Source organism: Homo sapiens, chromosome X, assembly GCF_000001405.40.
Source record: "Homo sapiens chromosome X, GRCh38.p14 Primary Assembly".
NCBI lineage: Eukaryota > Metazoa > Chordata > Mammalia > Primates > Hominidae > Homo > Homo sapiens.
This window is the reverse complement of record NC_000023.11, coordinates 105,988,510-106,007,064: the sequence shown is the minus strand read 5'-3', so window position 1 is coordinate 106,007,064 and position 18,555 is coordinate 105,988,510. Positions and strand designations below refer to the sequence as shown.

General features: G+C 38.4%; 1 long non-coding RNA gene across 2 annotated transcripts in view; it reads left to right on the top strand.

The window, feature by feature from the left end:
- LOC105373304 (uncharacterized) overlaps positions 1-18,555 on the top strand; it is a 60,450-nt gene that overhangs the window by 853 nt on the left and 41,042 nt on the right. The window lies entirely within an intron of this gene.

Below are 18,555 nucleotides of genomic sequence, written 5' to 3'. Positions count from 1 at the left end.
TTTTTAGGAACTGGAGCATCATTTTTTCCCTTTTTAATGGTACTCCAATTTCCTTTTAAATAACTACTCCTTGGCCTTTATATTAAGTCTACTTAAATCAATGGCACTTCTCTTCTGTAACGAGGAGGCAGGCACATGACTTAAGTGAGGATAATGTAATGCTCTGTGGCTAGATTTTGAATTTTAGTCATAGGGATAGAAAGACTAAAAGTGTCTAAGGTCCAGGCAATTAATGTGTCAGTGTCCTAATCAGACCAATTGTTCTACAACACCACTTTTGTTCATCACTAACTCAGTTCTCTAGTTTCCCATTGGTTCTCTGAAGCCTTAATATCATTATGATAAATTTACTTCTGCTTGAGTTTGTCTGAGTTGTTTATTTTATTTTTCATAACCACTTTCAAGGAGTTTAATAGAAAGGCCACATATAATATAAAAATGTTGTACATGAGTACTAACATCAAAGCAAGTGTTTGAATTCTGGCTCTGCTGCTTATTTATCCTCTCTGGGACTCAGTTTTCTCATTTGGGAAAAGGAGATGATAAAAATGGCACCCACATCCTGGAATTATTCTTTGATAAGTGTCCAAAAAATCTTAACATTAGTAGTATATAACAGTTACTTTAAAAAGTTAAGTTTTCCTCCTTCACTATCATGTTAAAGGAAGAATGCCCAATTTCATGGGCAGTACCCAGACATGAGATTTTATTGTGCTTATTGGAATAATGGGTAGAACAGTAAAACTGAAAGACACTAAAAGAATCAGCTCTGTTTACATAGGATAGGGCTAGGAGCTACTCCTGGGGGAAAATAATAAATGTTTAAATTGCTTTTCAATGACTTTTGGCTACTGGCCTGGAGTCTTTTGTATATAACTAACTTACCAGAGACAACAAGGTTTACTTCATATTTATTAAAATAAGTTAGGTGTGCATGTGAGGTGGAAGGGTGTTCTTCGCCTTATCTGATACTGAGAGCTTCAGCTGAAGCATTCTTTCCTCTTCCCCTAACGATTTCTTTTCCAGGAGATGCTGATCAATACTTCCCCTTTCTGGGTCTATTTTCCAAATGTTTTCTGTAATCAAATCTTCATCACCAACACATATATAGTCAAATTTTTGACCTAAATACTTCCTGTAGTTCATCACATTCCCATTGGCCTGCCTCAGAGTTCTAAAGCGTTTTATCAGTATTTTTTAACAAGTGTTTACTTTGATAACACTGAGGACCTTTAAACTTTCCCCATTATCCACTTTCCCTTTTACATCTGGCAACTCCAAGTTTTGCTCCTGACAGGATTCAAAAGCCTCTTTCCCTGGTGCTAGAGCAGGACTACCAGAGAAAAATCTCCACTCTTAGTACAATTAACTAACAATTAGAAGGACATCTTTTCCAATTGCTTATTCTAATGTATTTTTCCAGAATTTGATAAATGTGTGGGAGTCTGGATTTATTATTTGTGTTTTTTAATTTTTATATTTATATTTTATATATTTATATATTATTATTATTTAAAAAGCCACAAATCTCTTTTTATGAATGCAGTCCTTTTACTCTTCAAAAATGCTGTATTTTTAAAGAGAGTGTTTTTAAATCAACTACATTTTTGACGTGTACATATATATACAAAGCTATTAACAGTAGTTGGCCCTGAGTATTGTTGGGGTGGAGGTGGAAATGTGGACATTGAGCATTGTATACTTCGTTTTCTTTGAACAAGGAGCATATGAGGTTTTTTACAATTACTCACTTTTTTGAAGCTATAGATCCTTTCTTCTGAAGGCATTTTTAAAGGAAGTTCATTAAAATAGTCTCTATATCTAGGTATTTTATTTCACTTAAGTTCCATGGTCAATCGTTATAATAATTTTCTTGCATATACCCTTGAAACTCTTACCCTTCTCTCATTTTGTCACATTTGCTTGGAAAAGCTGCAACCTTGATCAAATGCAACTGTCTTCCAAGCCTATACCTGAGATTGTAACTGGGGAAAAAAGTGCACAATGATAAATTAATGACCACACACTTAAAAGACGGTTGTAACACTTCAAGAATATCTTATTATTTATTCCTAATCCATTAAATCTTCCATTTCACACCTTCTCTGTCCTCAAACCTCCAATATCGCCTCCTTCATCTTCTCTTTCAGGTGATGACTTTGCTTCCTGCTTTGCAGAGAACATTTTTAAAAATTAAAGGAGACTTTCCACAGACTTGTTACCCACTTAGCAGCATCAATACCTGTATACTGTAACTTCCTGTTTCTTATAAAGATGAACTTCCTTTACTCTTCTCTAAAACCATTTTTTTGCACTAGATCACATGTCCTTTAGCCCACTTTTGCCTTCAGCTCCAGCAATTCTCCCTTCTCTCTCCTATATAACTATTTTTATTTTTGTACTGTACTGGGTCATTCCAATAAACATACTGATTTCCTGTTTTCTCCCATCATGAAAGAAAATATTCCTTGATCTCAATTCCCTGTTAAATCATACCATATTCCTTTACTCAAGTTGCACAGCAAAACTTTAAAATGTGTCAACACTTGAGTTCTCCAATTCCCCTCATCCCATTCTCTGTCCCCTGCACCTCTGTATCTCTCTCTCCCTCCATCTCTTTCCCTCATATAAGCACATGCACACATTTCATTATAATTTACAGAGTGAAATAATTATATTGAGAGTGTGCAGTTCAATGAGTTTTCACAAATTTACAGCCACAAAATCCATCTCAAATCAAGGTATGAAATATTTGCATCAATTCAGAGTTTCCTCATGTCCCTTTCCAATCGTCACCACTCTCATATCAAGCAAACATTTTCATTTCCATAACCATAGATTAGTTTAATATGTTTGAACCTAAATGTAAATGGACTCAAGAGTCCATAGATGGATTCTTCTATGTCTAGCTTTTTAAAACTATGCTTTTCTTTTTTTTTCCTTGCAGTTGCAAGATTTAATAGAGTGAAAACAGAGCTCCCATACAAAGGGAGGGGACCCAAAGAGGGTAGCCATTGCCGGCTTGAATGCCTGGGTTTATATCCCAATCATTGTCCCTCCCACTGTGCTCTCAGGCAATAGATGATTGGCTGTTTCTTTACCCCCTGTTTTTGCCTAATTCGCATTTTAGTGAGCTCTATTTCCTACCTGATTGGTTGGGTGTGAGCTAAGTTGCAAGCCCCGTGTTTAAAGGTGGATGCGATCACCTTGGCTTAGGGATTCTTAGTCGGCCTAGGAAATCCAGCTAGTCCTGTCTCTCAGTACCCCCTCTCAACAGGAAAACCCAAGTGTTGTTGGGGAGGTTGGCCGATGACCGCTTTAACTGCTTCCTGCTGAATTGGGACATAGTAGGGGTTGTGCAGTTGAGATTTCCCCGGGAGGGGTGCCTTCGATGTCATTAACATTGGAGCATGGGCTAGCAGGCCCCCTCCAGGGGGCTGCGGTATATCTTAGTCATGGACTGCATCTGAGACTCCATTTGAAGAACCATTTGTAGTTTTACAGCTTTGATTCTGGAAGAGACAAACTTAACAAGGAGGTTAAAGATACAGGGATTGAAATGTATGGCTTGCAGTGCAGGAGATTATTTCTTTGGCACACTTTACAGGCCCTGACTACCTGCTTGATAGTTTTGAAAAGGCCTGATCCAGTAAATAATAATTTGGCCATCTGATGGGTGCTATCAATGCCTAAGTGAAAGGTTTGGTGAAGGGTTTTAAGTAATTTCCATTGGTTAGCTGCAGGCAAAAGCATTTTTCCTTCTTTGGTGGCTAGCCATCCTGAGGGGAGGAAAGTATGTCCTCGTGAGGTTCTCCATTTTATTTCTCCTGCTGAGTACTGGGGATTGCTTTCCTGGAGGGGGTTACCCCACACTAGGGGTCCTTCTATAAGCATTTCTAATGGAGGGTCCTGCCTTGCGGCTCTTTTGGCTTCAATATCTGCTTGGTAGTTCCCTTCTATTTCCCTTTCCTTTTTTTTCTGATGACCCCAGCAGTGTAGGACTGCCACCTCTTTAGGTTTCTGTACCACCAATAATAATATCCTAATGGCTTCCTGATGTTTGATAGGTGTTCCTTTGGAAGTTAGGAATTCCCTTTCTCTCCATATTGCTGCATGGGCATGAAGGACTAGGTAAGCATACTTATAGTCTGTATATATATTTACCCTTTTCTCTTCTCCTAATTCTAGTGCCCGAGTGAGGGCTATTAGTTTGGCCAGCTCAGCACTAGTTCCTGGAGTGAGGGGATTACTTTCAAGTATTCCATTATCACTGATCACTGCATACCCTACTTTTTGAAGTCCTTTTTCTACAAAGGAACTTCCATCAGTATACAAGTTGAGGTCAGGATCAGTCAAGGGAACTTCTAAAAGGTCCCCTAGAGCGGTGTAGGTTTGAGCAATTACTTGATGACAGTTATGTTCTATCTTTTCTTCATTGTCTGGAAGAAATGTGGCTTGGTTAAGAGTTGCACAAGTGCACAGTCACAGCACTGGCCCTTCAAGTAATACAGCCTGATATTTAAGTAAATTGTTGTCTGACAGCCACAAGTCTCCTTTAGCAGTGGGTATGCCATTCACATCATGAGATGTCCACACAGTAAGAGCTCTTCCCTGCATTATTTTAACTGCTTTAGATACTAAGACTGCTACTGCCGCCACTACCCATAAACAATGAGGCCAACCCTTTGCCACTACATCAATTTCCTTACTCAGGTATGGCATGGGTTGCAAGCTCGTCCCTCGGACCTATGTAAAGACTCCTAGAGCTCTTCCTGTTTTTCCTGTGACTGACATATAAAGAAAAGTCTTGCCCCGTTAGCAAACTTAACACTGGGGCTTGGGTTAAGGCCTTCTTTAGGGCCTGGAAAGCTGCTTCTGCTTCAGGTGTCCATCTTACTAAATGGGTATTGGCTTTTGAGTTTCCTTAATTAGTGTATATAATGGTCTGGCTGTTTTGCTGTACTTGGGAATCCATATTTGGCAGAAACCTGTTATGCCAAGGAACCCTCTTAGTTGCTTTAGGGTTTTGGGATGAGGATAAGCCAGTATAGGCTGGATACATTCCTCACTGAGGGCCCTGGTGCCTTTGGATAACTGTAGCCCTAAGTATTTAACCTGCTGTGAGAAGAGCTGAGCCTTTGGTTTGGAAACCTTGTAGCCACAGGTAGCGAGGAAATTTAAGAGCACTTGGGTGGCTTGATGGCACAAGGTTTTTGAAAGGGTGGCTAAAAGTAAGTCATCCACCTACTGAAGGACAAGAGTGTCCAGGTATGAGAATTGGCTCAAGTCTTGGGCTAATGCCTGGCCAAATAGATGGGGGCTATCCCTGAACCCTTGGGGTAAAACAGTCCAGGTGAGTTGAGACATTGAGTTCAAAGGATCTTCAAAGGCAAACAAGAATTGAGACTCAGGATGTACAGGGATGCAGACAAAGGCATCCTTAAGGTCCAGGACTGTAAACCACTCTGCTTCCTCTGGTATTTGGGAAAGCAGAGTATAAGGGTTAGGTACAGCTGGGTATAGAGGGACAATGGCCTCATTGATAATCCTGAGATCTTGCACTAACCTCCACTGTCTGTTGGGTTTCTGTACTCCTAAAAATGGAGTATCACAGGGGCTATTGCGTGCTTTCACTAGGCCTTGAGCTTTTAGGTCCTTAACAATCTTTTGGAGTCCTTGTTGGGCCTCGGGTCTAAGGGGGTACTGCCTTTGGTAGGGAAAGGAGGCGGAATCCTTTAGTTTAACTTGAACAGGATGGGAATTTTTTGCTCATCCATATTGTCCTTCTGTTGCCCAGACTTTAGGATTAATTCCTTCCTCAAGTAGGGGACAACAAACAGGTGTTCCTTCTCCTATGTTCAGGTGTGTAATGGCCCCTGCTTTTGCTAGAATGTCTCTCCCTAACAAGGGAGTGGGGCTTTCAGGCACAATTAGAAATGCATGTGAAAAGAGTAAAGTTCCTCAGTCACAACTTAGTGGCTGGGAGAAGTATCTAGTGACTGGCTGTCTTAGGACCCCTCGGATAGTGACAGATCAGGAGGACAGTTGTCCGGGACAGGAGAGTAAGACTGAGAAGGCTGCGCCAGTGTCCAGGAGACAGTTAACCTCCTGGCCCTCAATGGTAAAGCATACTTGGGGCTCTGTGAGGGTGATGGCATGGGCTGGCGCTTGCCCCAGGCACCCTCAGTCCTGCTGCTGGATCATCTGGTTAGTGGCTTCTGACTCAGAGGACCTTCGTCCCCTGGGGCAGTGGGCCTTCCAGTGATTCCCTTTTCTACGTGCTGCCTTGACATTTTTGAGCCTCACAGAGCCCCAAATTCTTAGCTGTGAGTTTCCCTGTTCTTGCCGGGTATGCTTCTCATTCAAGCAGGAAAATTCCCCACCTGGTTTGTCCACCTATCAGCTGGAACAGATGCACCTCATCAGCTCCTCAATCTAATGGGATTCATTTCCCTGCCAGCCTGTCAAACTAGTTAAATAAGTCAATCACATCCTCCTGTGGGAGCCAGGGGTTACCCCATCCTATTCTTACTAAAAAGCCTCCCTGCCACAACCTCTTCTGGTTCACTCTGCTCCTAGGTGCAACCCCCCCATGAACACCCAGGTATACTCCTCCCCCAGACTGTGAGTGTATGTGACTAATAAACTGCTGCCAAATGCATCTGTTAAGTGTCAGGTGTCCTGTGTTTGGCCATTCCCAGAACCTTAGGGCATGACTCCCTCCCTCACTGACAGAGTGAATAGGTGATCATAACAAGCTGAAATTAATGTTTTTGCAAATCATTATATTGTTGCCTGTATTATTAGCTTATTCCTTCTATTGCTGAGTAATATCCCATTGTATGAATATGACATAATTCTCAATCTTCATAATAATTGACCTAGTGACAACATTTAACACACTTGATTACTACCTTTTCATTGATAGACATTTTTTACTTGATTTCCAGGACACAGAACTCTCATGATTTTTCTCCAGCTTCATTGGCAACTCCTTCTCACTGTCCATACTAGTTTCTTCTGTTCTCCCTAAACTGTTAACATTGGCATTCTCCAGGGTACATTCCTTATTCCTCTTCTCTACCCATACTCACTCCCTTAGTTACATCGTCTCATGGCTTTAAATACCATCCACGTGCTGAAGACAAAAAAATTTATATCTTCACCATACCCCTCTTTCAAACTCTGGATTCATATATCCAACTGACTCGTTGATATCTCTGCTTGGATGTGTTTTATACACCTCAATTCAACTTACCCAAAGTGGAGTTTTTAGTAATCTACCTGATACCAGGTGCACCCACAGACTTTCCTATCATAGTTAATAGTAACTCCAAACCAAAAAGTTCATCATTGACTTCTTTATTTCACAGCCCATATCCAATCCATTAGAAAATTCTGTGGCTTTAACTTTAAAACACCCAGAATTCGAACACTTCTTACCACCTAGACTGCTACCACCCTGGTTCAAACAAGCATTTTCTCTTCCTGAATTATGGTTAGCCCTTTTATGCCTGAGGTTGCAATTGTTTGAATTTTTGCAGTTGGACTTGGAGATGACCTTGAGCAGTGGGATATAAACTCCCACATGCTTAGCATTCCAAAAATAGAACACTAGACATAAATAGTGGCCTCCTTATTTCTCCCTCCTTCCACTTTTACTCATTCCCCTCTACCATATATACAGCCTAATTTTAACATGACTTCCATGGTGATCTTTCTATACACACACTAGATTGTGTTTGCTTAAAAACCCTCCAATAGATTCACATTTTACTCAGAAAAAAGACAGTTTTTACAATTACCCAAAAAGGCCTTTACCCACAACGGCCTATATATTGTGTTTGCTCCACCCACTATTCTTTATCTGATGTTTTATCTTGGTATTATCCTCTTTACTCTCTCTATTCTGTCCACGTTGGTCTCCTTGATTCCTCAAATATGCTAAGTACACTCTCACTTTTAGGGGCTTGCTCTGGCTCCTCCCTCTGCCAGGAAAGTTTCCCCAAGATACCTGCCTGACTGTCTTTCACCTCCTTCAAATCTTTGTTTAAAAAAAATCACTTTTCAATGAAATTTATCATAACAAACTATTTAACGTTGCAAACTGGTTCCTCAAATTGGCATTTTTTTCCAACTTTTATTTTAGGTTCATGGGGTACAGGTGCAAGTTTGTTACATGGATAAATAGCATATTGTGGGGGTTTGATGTACAGATTATTTCATCACCCAGATAATGAGCATAATAAGTACCTAATAGGTAGTTTTTCCATCCTCCGCCTCCTCCCACCCTGCAACCTCAAGTAGGCCCTGGTATCTATTGTTCCCTTCTTTGTGTCCATGTGTACTCAATGTTTAACTCTCACTTATAAGTGAGAATGTGTGGCATTTTATTTTTTGTTCCTGCATTAGTTTGCTAAGAATAATAGCCTCCATCTCCATCCATGTTCCTGTGAAGGACATGATCTCTTATGGCTCCATATTATTCCATGGTGCATACGTACCATATTTTCTTTATCCAGTCCCCTGTTTATGGGCATCTAGGTTGATTCCATATCTTTGTTATTGTGAACAATGCTGCAATGGACATACATGTACATGTGTCTTTATGGTAGAACAATTTATATTCGTTTAGGTATATACTCAGTAATGATATTGCTGGATAAAACGGTATTTCTATTTTAAGCTCTTTGAGAAATCTCCAAACGGCTTTCCAAGTGGCTGAACTAACTTACACTACCACCAACAGTGTGTAAGCATTCCCTTTTCTCCACAACCTTGCCAGCTTCTGTTATTTTTTGACATTTTACTAGTAGCCATTCTAACTGGTGTGAGATGGTATCTCCCTGTGGTTTTGATTTGCATTTCTCTAATGATTAGTAATGTTGAACATTTTTTCACAATGCCTGTTGGCCACGTGTATGTCTTTTGAAAAGTGTCTGTTCACATCCTTTGGCTATATATATATATATATATATACATATATATATTTTTTTTTTTTTTTTTTTTTTTTTTTTTTTGAGATGGAGTCTCACTCTGTCACCCAGGCAAGAGTTCAGTGGCACGATCTCTCGGCTCATTGTAACCTCTGCCTTCTGGGCTCAAGTGATTCTCCTGCCTCAGCCTCCTGAGTAGCTGGGATTATAGGTGCCCCAAACCACGCCCAGCTAATTTTTGTATTTTTAGTAGAGACGGGGTTTCACCATGTTGGCCAGGCTGGTTTCGAACTCCTGACCTCAAATGATCCACCCGCCTCAGCCTCCCAAAGTGCTGAGATTACAGGCATGAGCCACTGCGTCCAGCCCCTTTGGCGATATTTTAATGGGGTTGTTTGTTTTTTCTTGTTCATTTAAGTTTCTTGTAGATGCTAGATATTAGACCTTCAGCAGAATGCACAGTTTGAAAATATTTTCTCCCATTCTGCAGGTTGTCTGTTTCCTCTATTGACAGTTTCCTTTGCTGTGCAGAAGTTCTTTTGTTTAATTAGGTCCCACTTGCCAAGTTTTGTTTTTGTTGCAATTGCTTTTAGCAAGTTTGTCATGAAATCTTTGTCAGGGCCTATATCCAGAATGGTATTTCCTAGGTTTTCTTCTAGGGTTTGCATAGTTTTAGGTTTCACATTTAAGTCTTTAATCCATTTTTTTGTTTTGTTTTGTTTTTATTTTTATTTTTTGTTATACTTTAAGTTCTGGGATACATGCGCAGAAAGTGCAAGTTTGTTACATAGGTATACATGTGCCATGGTGGTTAGCTGCACCCATCAACCTGTCATCTACATTAGGTATTTCTCCTAATGCTATACCTCCCCTAGTCCCCCACCCCCAGACAGGACCTGGTGTGTGATGTTCCCCTCCCTGTGCCCATATGTTCTCATTGTTCAACTCCCGCTTATGAGTGAGAACATGCAGTGTTTGGTTTTATGTTCCTGTGGAAGTTTGCTGAGAATGATGGTTTCCAGCTTCACTCATGTCCCTGCAAAGGACATGAACTCATTGTTTGTTATGGCTGTGTAGTATTCCATGGTGTATATGTGCCACATTTTCTTTATCCAGTCTATCTTGAAGGGAATTTGGGTTGGTTCCAAGTCTTTGCTTTTGTGAATAGTGCTGCAGTAAACATACATGTGAATGTGTCTTTATAGCGAATGATTTATAATCCTTTGGGTGTATACCCAGTAATGGGATTGCTGGGTCAAATGGTATTTCTTATTCTAGATACTTGAGGAATTGCCACACTGTCTTCCACAATGGTTGACCTAATTTACACTCCCACCAACAGTGAAAAAGCATTCCTATTTCTTCACGTCCTCTCTGCTGTTTCTTGACTTTTTAATGATCACCATTCTAACTGGTGTGAGATGGTATCTCATTGTGGTTTTGATTTGCATTTCTCTAATGACCAGTGATGATGAGCTTTTTTTCATATTGGCCGCATAAATATCTTCTTTTGAGAAGTGTCTGTTCATATCCTTTGCCCACTTTTTGATGTTTTTTTATGTAAATTTGTTTAAGTTCCTCGTAGATTCTGGATATTAGCCATTTGTCGAATGGATAGATTGCAAAAATTTTCTCCTATTATGTAGGTTCCCTGTTCCTTTAATCCATCTTGAGTTGATTTTTGTATATGGTGAAAGGAAGGGGTCTTCTGCATGTGGCTAGCCAGTAATCACTGCACCATTTATTGAATAGGGAGTCCTTTCCCCATTGCTTCTTTTTGTTGACTTTGTCAAAGATAAGATGGTTGTAGGTACCTGACTTTATTTCTGCATTCTCTAGCCTGTTCCATTGGTCTATGTGTTTGTTTTTGTACCAGTACGATGCCATGTTGGTTACTGTAGCCTTGTAGTACACTTTAAAGTTGGATAGTGTGATGCCTCCTGCTTTGATTTTTGCTTAGGATTGCTTTGGCTATTGGGGCTCTTTTTTTGGTTCTATATGACTTTTAGAATAGCTTTTTTTAATTCCACAAAAAAAATCATTGGTAGTTTGATAGTAATAACATTGAATTTATAAATTTCTTTGGGCAATATAAACATTTCAACAATATTGATTCTTTCTCTCCATGAACATGGAATATTTTTCCATTTGTTTGTGTCATCTCTGATTTCTTTCAGTATTGTTTTGGAATTCTCATTGTAGAGATTTTTCAACTCCCTGCTTAGCTGTATTTCTAGGTATTTTATTCTTTATTGTGGCAATTGTGAATGGGATTGCCTTTCTGATTTGGCTCTTGGCTTGGCTGTTTTGGTGTGTAGGAATGCTAATGATTTTTGTACATTGATTTTCCATCCTGAAACGTTGTTGAAATTGTTTATCAAGTCTAGGAGCCTTTGGGAAGAGACTATGGGGTTTTCTAGGTATAGAATCTTATGGTCTGCAAAGAATGATCATTTAACTTTTTCCCTTCCTATTTGAATGCCTATTCTTTCTCTTGCCTGACTGCTCTGGCTAGGAATTTTGGTACTATGGTGAATAGAAGTGGTGAGAGTGGGGATCCTTGTCTTATTCTGGTTCTCAACTGGAATGCTTCCAGCTTTTGCCCTTTCAGTATGATGCTGTGGGTTTTTCATAGATGGTTCTTATTATTTTGATGTACGTTCCTTTGATGCCTAGTATGCTGAGGGTTTTTAACATGAAGGGATGTTGAATTTTATCAAAAGCTTTTTCTGTGTCTATTGAGATGATTATGTGGTTTTTGTTTTAGTTATGTGATGAACCACATTTATTGATTTGTATATATTGAACAAACCTTGCATCCCAGGACATGATACAACATGGAAGAACCTTGAAAACATTATGCTTTGTGAAATAAGCCAGTCACAAAAAGAGAATTGCTACATAATTCCACTTATGTGAGGTATCTAAAGCAGTCAAACTCTTAGAAACAGAAAGTAGAGTTATAACTGCCAAGGCCTAGGGGGAGGAGGAAAAGGGGAGTTGTTACAGAATTTCAGTTGGTATAGTTTAAAAGTTGCAAGACGAAAAGGTTGTAGAGATCAGTTGTAAGCAATGTACATATAGTTAATACAACTGTACTGTACATTTACAAATGGCCTGTAATCACAGCACTTTGGGAGGTGAATGCAGGTGGATTGCTTGGCGACAGGAGTTTGAGACCAGCCTGGCCAACATAATGAAACCCCTTCTCTACTAAAAATACAAACAATTAGCCAGGCATGGTGGCATACACCTGTAATCCCAGCTACTCCAGAGGCTGAGGCATGAGAACTGTTTGAACCCAGGAGGCAGAGGTTGCAGTGAACCGAGATCGCACCACTGCACTCCAGCCTGGGTGACAGAGTGAGACTCTGTCTCAAAAAAGAAATTTAAAAAAATGATTAAAATAGTAAATTTAATGTTGTGGTTTTTTACCACCATAAAAAATAAAAAAAAGAAGTTATCTTTTTAAAATCTACCAAATTAAAGAGAAAAAATGTCAACTTTGACTTCTGGTTTCAACTCTGACATGTCTACACTTTCGAGAGTTTTCCTCCAGGAATCCCATTAGCTTATCAGAGTGCAGATCTGAAAGACTCAGTCTTGAATCTGGCAGAAGGAGAAGGAGGGGGAAAGTAACTATTGTTGAGACCAGGAGAAAAGACTTTACCAGAGCTTTCTCCCACCTTGTGTTGTAAGAGCATTTGCCCTGCTTCAGCCCCTCTAGCGTTCCTGTCTTACCCAAGGGGAGGAAGGCTAAAAACATTTGTAAAAGTCACAGCTCAGAAATACAGGTACACCAAAATCTGATATTTAATTATAAGATTATAGAATGCTATTTTTAGTTTATTTTTCTTTGGAAACTCCATACAGTTTTCCATAATGGTTGTACTAATTTACATTCCCATCAACTGTGTACAAGGGTTCCATTTTCTCTTGAAGTCTCACCAACACGTATCTTTTTTATACTAGCCATTCAGACAGGTGTTCAGTCATATCTCATTGTGATTTTAATTTGCCTTTCTCCAATGATTAGTGATATTGAATATTTTTTCATATATCTGTTGGTCATTTGTACCTCTTCTTTTGAGAAATGGACTCTTCAGGTCTTTGTACATTTTTAAATCAGGTTGTTTGGGTTTTTTGCTATTAAGTTGTTTGATCTCCTTATGTATTTTGGATATTAACCCCTTGTCAAATGATCCTGACATCCTAATGACTTGAAATCAATATGTCAAAAATACATCTGCACTCCCGTGTTCATTGCAGCATTGTTCACAGTAGCTAAGATACAGAATCAATCAAAGTGTCCCTCAACAGATGAATGAGTAAAGAAAAAATGGTATATATGCATGATGGAGTACTATTCAGCAATAAAAAATAATTCTGTCATTTGTGACAACATAGATGAAACTTGAGGAAATAACGGTAAATGAAATCAGCCAGGCACAGAAGGACAAAAAACATGTCTTCTCACTTATGTGTGGAGTTGTTACAGTGAACTCATAGAAGTGGAGAATAGAATGGTGGTTACCAGAGACTTGGGGGAAGGATGGGAAGATGCTGGTCAAATTGTAGAAGGTTCAGTTTGACAGGAGGAATTAAGGATTAGTTAATGTGATGGATATGTTACTTACCTTGATCCAATCATTCCACACTGTACACATTATTATAACATTACTGTGTAACCCATAACTATATGATTATAATTTGTTCAAAAAATAAAAAGTAAATGAAATAAAATATTTCCTAACTGAAGAAAAATGATTTTAGAACACTTCTGTTTTCCCACACCTTACCACTGCACTCACAGTACAACCACATAATACAATGGATTATATCTAAAACAGCTGCAAGATGCAGACTGTACCTAAGAAAGAGTTCCTAGGAAAGCCCAAAGGAAAAATGAGAGACAAAAACAAAGACACACTGACTTCCACAATGGTTGAACTAGTTTACAGTCCCACCAACAGTGTAAAAGTGTTCCTATTTCTCCACATCCTCTCCAGCACCTGTTGTTTCCTGACTTTTTAATGATTGCCATTCTAACTGGTGTGAGATGATATCTCATAGTGGTTTTGATTTGCATTTCTCTGATGGCCAGTGATGATGAGCATTTTTTCATGTGTTTTTTGGCTACATAAAGGTCTTCTTTTGAGAAGTGTCTGTTCATGTCCTTTGCCCACTTTTTGATGGGGTTGTTTGTTTTTTTCTTGTAAATTTGTTTGAGTTCATTGTAGATTCTGGATATTAGCCCTTTGTCAGATGAGTAGGTTGCAAAAATTTTCTCCCATTTTGTAGGTTGCCTGTTCACTCTGATGGTAGTTTCTTTTGCTGTGCAGAAGCTCTTTAGTCAGAAGTCAGTGTGGCGATTCCTCAGGGATCTAGAACTAGAAATACCATTTGACCCAGCCATCCCATTACTGGGTATATACCCAAATGACTATAAATCATGCTGCTATAAAGACACATGCACACGTATGTTTATTGCGGCATTATTCACAATAGCAAAGACTTGGAACCAACCCAAATGTCCAACAATGATAGACTGGATTAAGAAAATGTGGCACATATACACCATGGAATACTATGCAGCCATAAAAAATGATGAGTTCATGTCCTTTGTAGGGACATGGATGAAATTGGAAACCATCATTCTCAGTAAACTATCGCAAGAACAAAAAACCAAACACCGCATATTCTCACTCATAGGTGGGAATTGAACAATGAGATCACATGGACACAGGAAGGGGAATATCACACTCTGGGGACTGTGGTGGGGTGGGGGGAGGGGGGAGGGATAGCATTGGGAGATATACCTAATGCTAGATGACGAGTTAGTGGGTGCAGCACACCAGCATGGCACATGTATACATATGTAACTAACCTGCACAATGTGCACATGTACCCTAAAACTTAAAGTATAATAAAAAAAATAAATAAATAAATAAATAAATAAAGATTCCACTGGAATTTTTTTGTCAGGGCAATAAGGCAATACAAAGAACTAAAGTTCATATAGATTGGAAAGAAAAGAAGGAAGGAAGAAAGGAAGGAAAGGAGGGAGGAAGGGAGGGAGGAAGGGAGGGAAGGACAGATGAAGGAAGGAAGGAAGGCAGGCTTATTTGCAGATGACATGATTGTCCACATAAAAAATACCAAGGAAAGTACCAAAAAAAAAAAAAATGAAATGACTTAGAACTAATAAGGAAGTTTGGCAAGATCATGAAATATAAGATCGAGACACAAAAATCAATTTTTTAATATATTCTAACAATGGACAATTAGCAATGGTTATATTGATTAAAAATACCATTTAAAATAGCTCCTCAAAATGAAATATTTTGATATAGTCTATCAAAGCATATACTGGATTTGTGTGCTGAAAACTACAAAAGGCTAATAAAAGTAGTCAAAGAATACCTAAATAAATGGAGAGTCATACAGTATACATGAATTGAAAAATTCAATACAGTAAAGAGGTCAATTCTGCCCACTTTGGTCATAGGTTTTACATAATTCAATCCTCAGCAGGATGTTTGATTGTTTTTGTAGGGATAGACAAGCTGATTTCAAACTTTTATGTGGAAAGGCAAAAGGACTAGAATAGCTAAAACAAATTTGTTAAAGAATAAAAATAAAGGATTTATACAATAAAAAAAAAAACAAAGACACTGGAGGAGTTTGTAGCTTCAGATATCTACAGGTATTGCATATTAAACACAGCCCAACTCCTAACCAGATCAGCATAAAAAACAGACACTAAAGGCTTATTTATCTTAGTTTTGATTATCTGATATATCATGTCTAGATTTCTATAACAAAAAATTTTACAAGGCACACAAAAAAGCGAAAACACACACTATTCAGGGACAGAGCAAGCACCAGAACCAAAATTGGATATGGCACAGATTTTGGAATTATCAAGAAATTTGAAGGAACTGTGATTAATATGTTAAGGACACTAAGGGAAAAAGGAGACAACATGCAAGTACAGATTGGTAATATAAGCAGAGCGATAGAAATTCTAATAAAGAATCAAAAGAAAATGAAGACAGATGGAAATTCTAACAAAGAAATTAAAAGCACTGTAACAGACATGAAGAATAGTTTTGATGGGCTCATCAGTAAGCTGGGCACGGCCAAGGAAAGTATCATTGAACTTGAAAATATGTCAATGTAAACTTCCTACACTGAAATGGAAAGAGAAAAAAATGAAAAGAAATAACATCCAAGAACCATGGAACAATTTCAAAAGATGCAACATATGTGTGTGAACCCCGGATAAATGAGACAGGTGTAAGTTAATTTAGAAAGTTTATTTTACCAAGGTTGAGGATATGCGCCTGTGATAAAGCCTCAGGAGGTCCTGACTACGTGTGCCCAAGGTGGTCAGAGCACAGCTTGGTTTTATACATTTTAGGGAGACATGAGACATCAATCAACATTTGTAAGATGAGCATTGGTTAGGTCTGGAAAGGGTGGATAAATGGAAGTGGGTAGGGGGCTTCCAGGTCATAGGTAGACAAGAGACAAATGGTTACATTCTTTTGAGTTTCTGATTATCCTCTCCAAAGGAGGCAATCAGATAATACATTTATCTCAGTGAGCAAGGGGTGATTTTGAATAGAATGGGAGGCAGGTTGGCCCTAAGCACTTCCCAGCTCGACTTCTCCATTTAGCTTAGTGATTTTGGGGCCCTAAGATTTATTTTCCTTTACTATTCATAATTGAAATATCAGAAGGCGAAAAAAGAGATAACAGATTGGAAAAATATTTGAAGTAAGAATGTCCAAAAATTTTCAAAACTTAAAGACAGACCACCGACCACAGATCCAGGAATTTCAGAGAACAAGTAAGATGAATAGCAAAAAACTACACTTAGGCATATTGTACTCAAACTGCTGAAAACTAAAGACAGAGAGAAGTTCTTCAAAGGAACAACAGGACAAAAGAGACCTTACCCATAGAAGAACAAAGATAAGACTTACAGTGGGCTTTGCACCCTAAACCATATATGAGAGAACAAAGTCGGGTGAAATATTTGAAGTCTTCAAAAAAACCTACACCAATATAAATTTCTATATCCAGCGAAATTACCCTTTTAAAGTGAAGGAGAAATTAAGCTTCATTCAAACAAACAAAAACTAAGAAATTTCATTGCAGCACATTTACCCTTCAAGGAATGTTAAAATATTTTCTTTAGAGAAAAGAAAATTCTATAGGTCAGAAACTTTGATTCATGTAAAGACAGGAAGAGTGTCAGGGAAACAATAAATGAAGATAAAATAAAATCTTATTTTTCTTTTTCTTAATTGATCTAAAAGGAAATGGTTTTTTGGAGTAATAATAATAAAATATATTGAGGAATTATAATGTATGGAGACATAAAATGAATGGTACCAATGACATAATAGGACCGAAGAATTGGAAATATTCTATACTTGTGCTACAAGTAGCATAGTGTTATTCGAAGGTAGCTATAGATTAGTTTAGAATGCATATTGCAAATCCTAGGGATACCACTAAATGTTTTTAAAATAAATAAAATTTATATGCTATCAGAGGAGATAAAATGAGAAGTTGAATTAAGGCTAGGCATGGTGGCATGTACTTTCAGCACTTTGAGAGGATGAGGTGGGAGGATTGCTTAAGCCCAGTAATTCAAGGATACAGTGAGCTATGATGGCACCACTGTACTCCAGCCTGGGTGATAGAGTAAGATCCTATCTCTGAATAAAAGAAAAGAAAAAGTAGCTCAATTAAAATTAATGAATGTTGCAAAAGAGCAGGATAAAATAAAGAACAGGCACAGTGAATAGAAAACAGTAACAAGCATAGTAGATATTAATGTGACTATATCAATAATCACTTATAAATGTGCAAATACACCAATTAAAATACATAGATGGTCACAGTGAATAAAAAATAAGACCTGACCAAGTATTGTCTATAAGAAACCCACTTTAAATATAAAGTCTCAGCTAGGTTAAAAGTTAAGAGTTGATGAAAGATTTATACTAATAAAAAAGCCAGAATAGCTATTAATTTCAGACAAAGCATATTTCAAGACAAGGAAAGTTATTAGGGATAAAGATGGGCATTGCATATGATACAGGGGTCAATTATCCAAGAAGACATAACACCTTTAATGTATATTCACCTGATAATAAAGCATCAAAATACGTGCAGCAAAACTGATAGAACACAAATAGAAATAGACAATTCACTATTATATTTGCTTGGCTGGACCTGGTGGCTCATGCCTGTAATCCCAGCACCAAGGTGGACGGATAACTTGAGGTCAGGAGTTTGACACCAGCCTGGCCAACATGACGAAACCCCATCTCTACTAAAAATACAAAATGTATCCAGGTGTGGTGGCACGTGCCTGTAATCCCAGCTACTAGGGAGGCTGAGGCAGGAGAATCTCTTGAACCTGGGAGGCAGAGGTTGCAGTGAACCGAGATTGCACCACTGCATTCCAGCCTGGGTAACAGAGCAAGACTCCATCTAAAAAAATAAATAAAATAAAAGTAAATATTTGTAGACCTCATAAAATCCTGTCAACTGACAGATCATCTATCAGTTATAAAACATGGGTCCAAAAGTCTCAGGA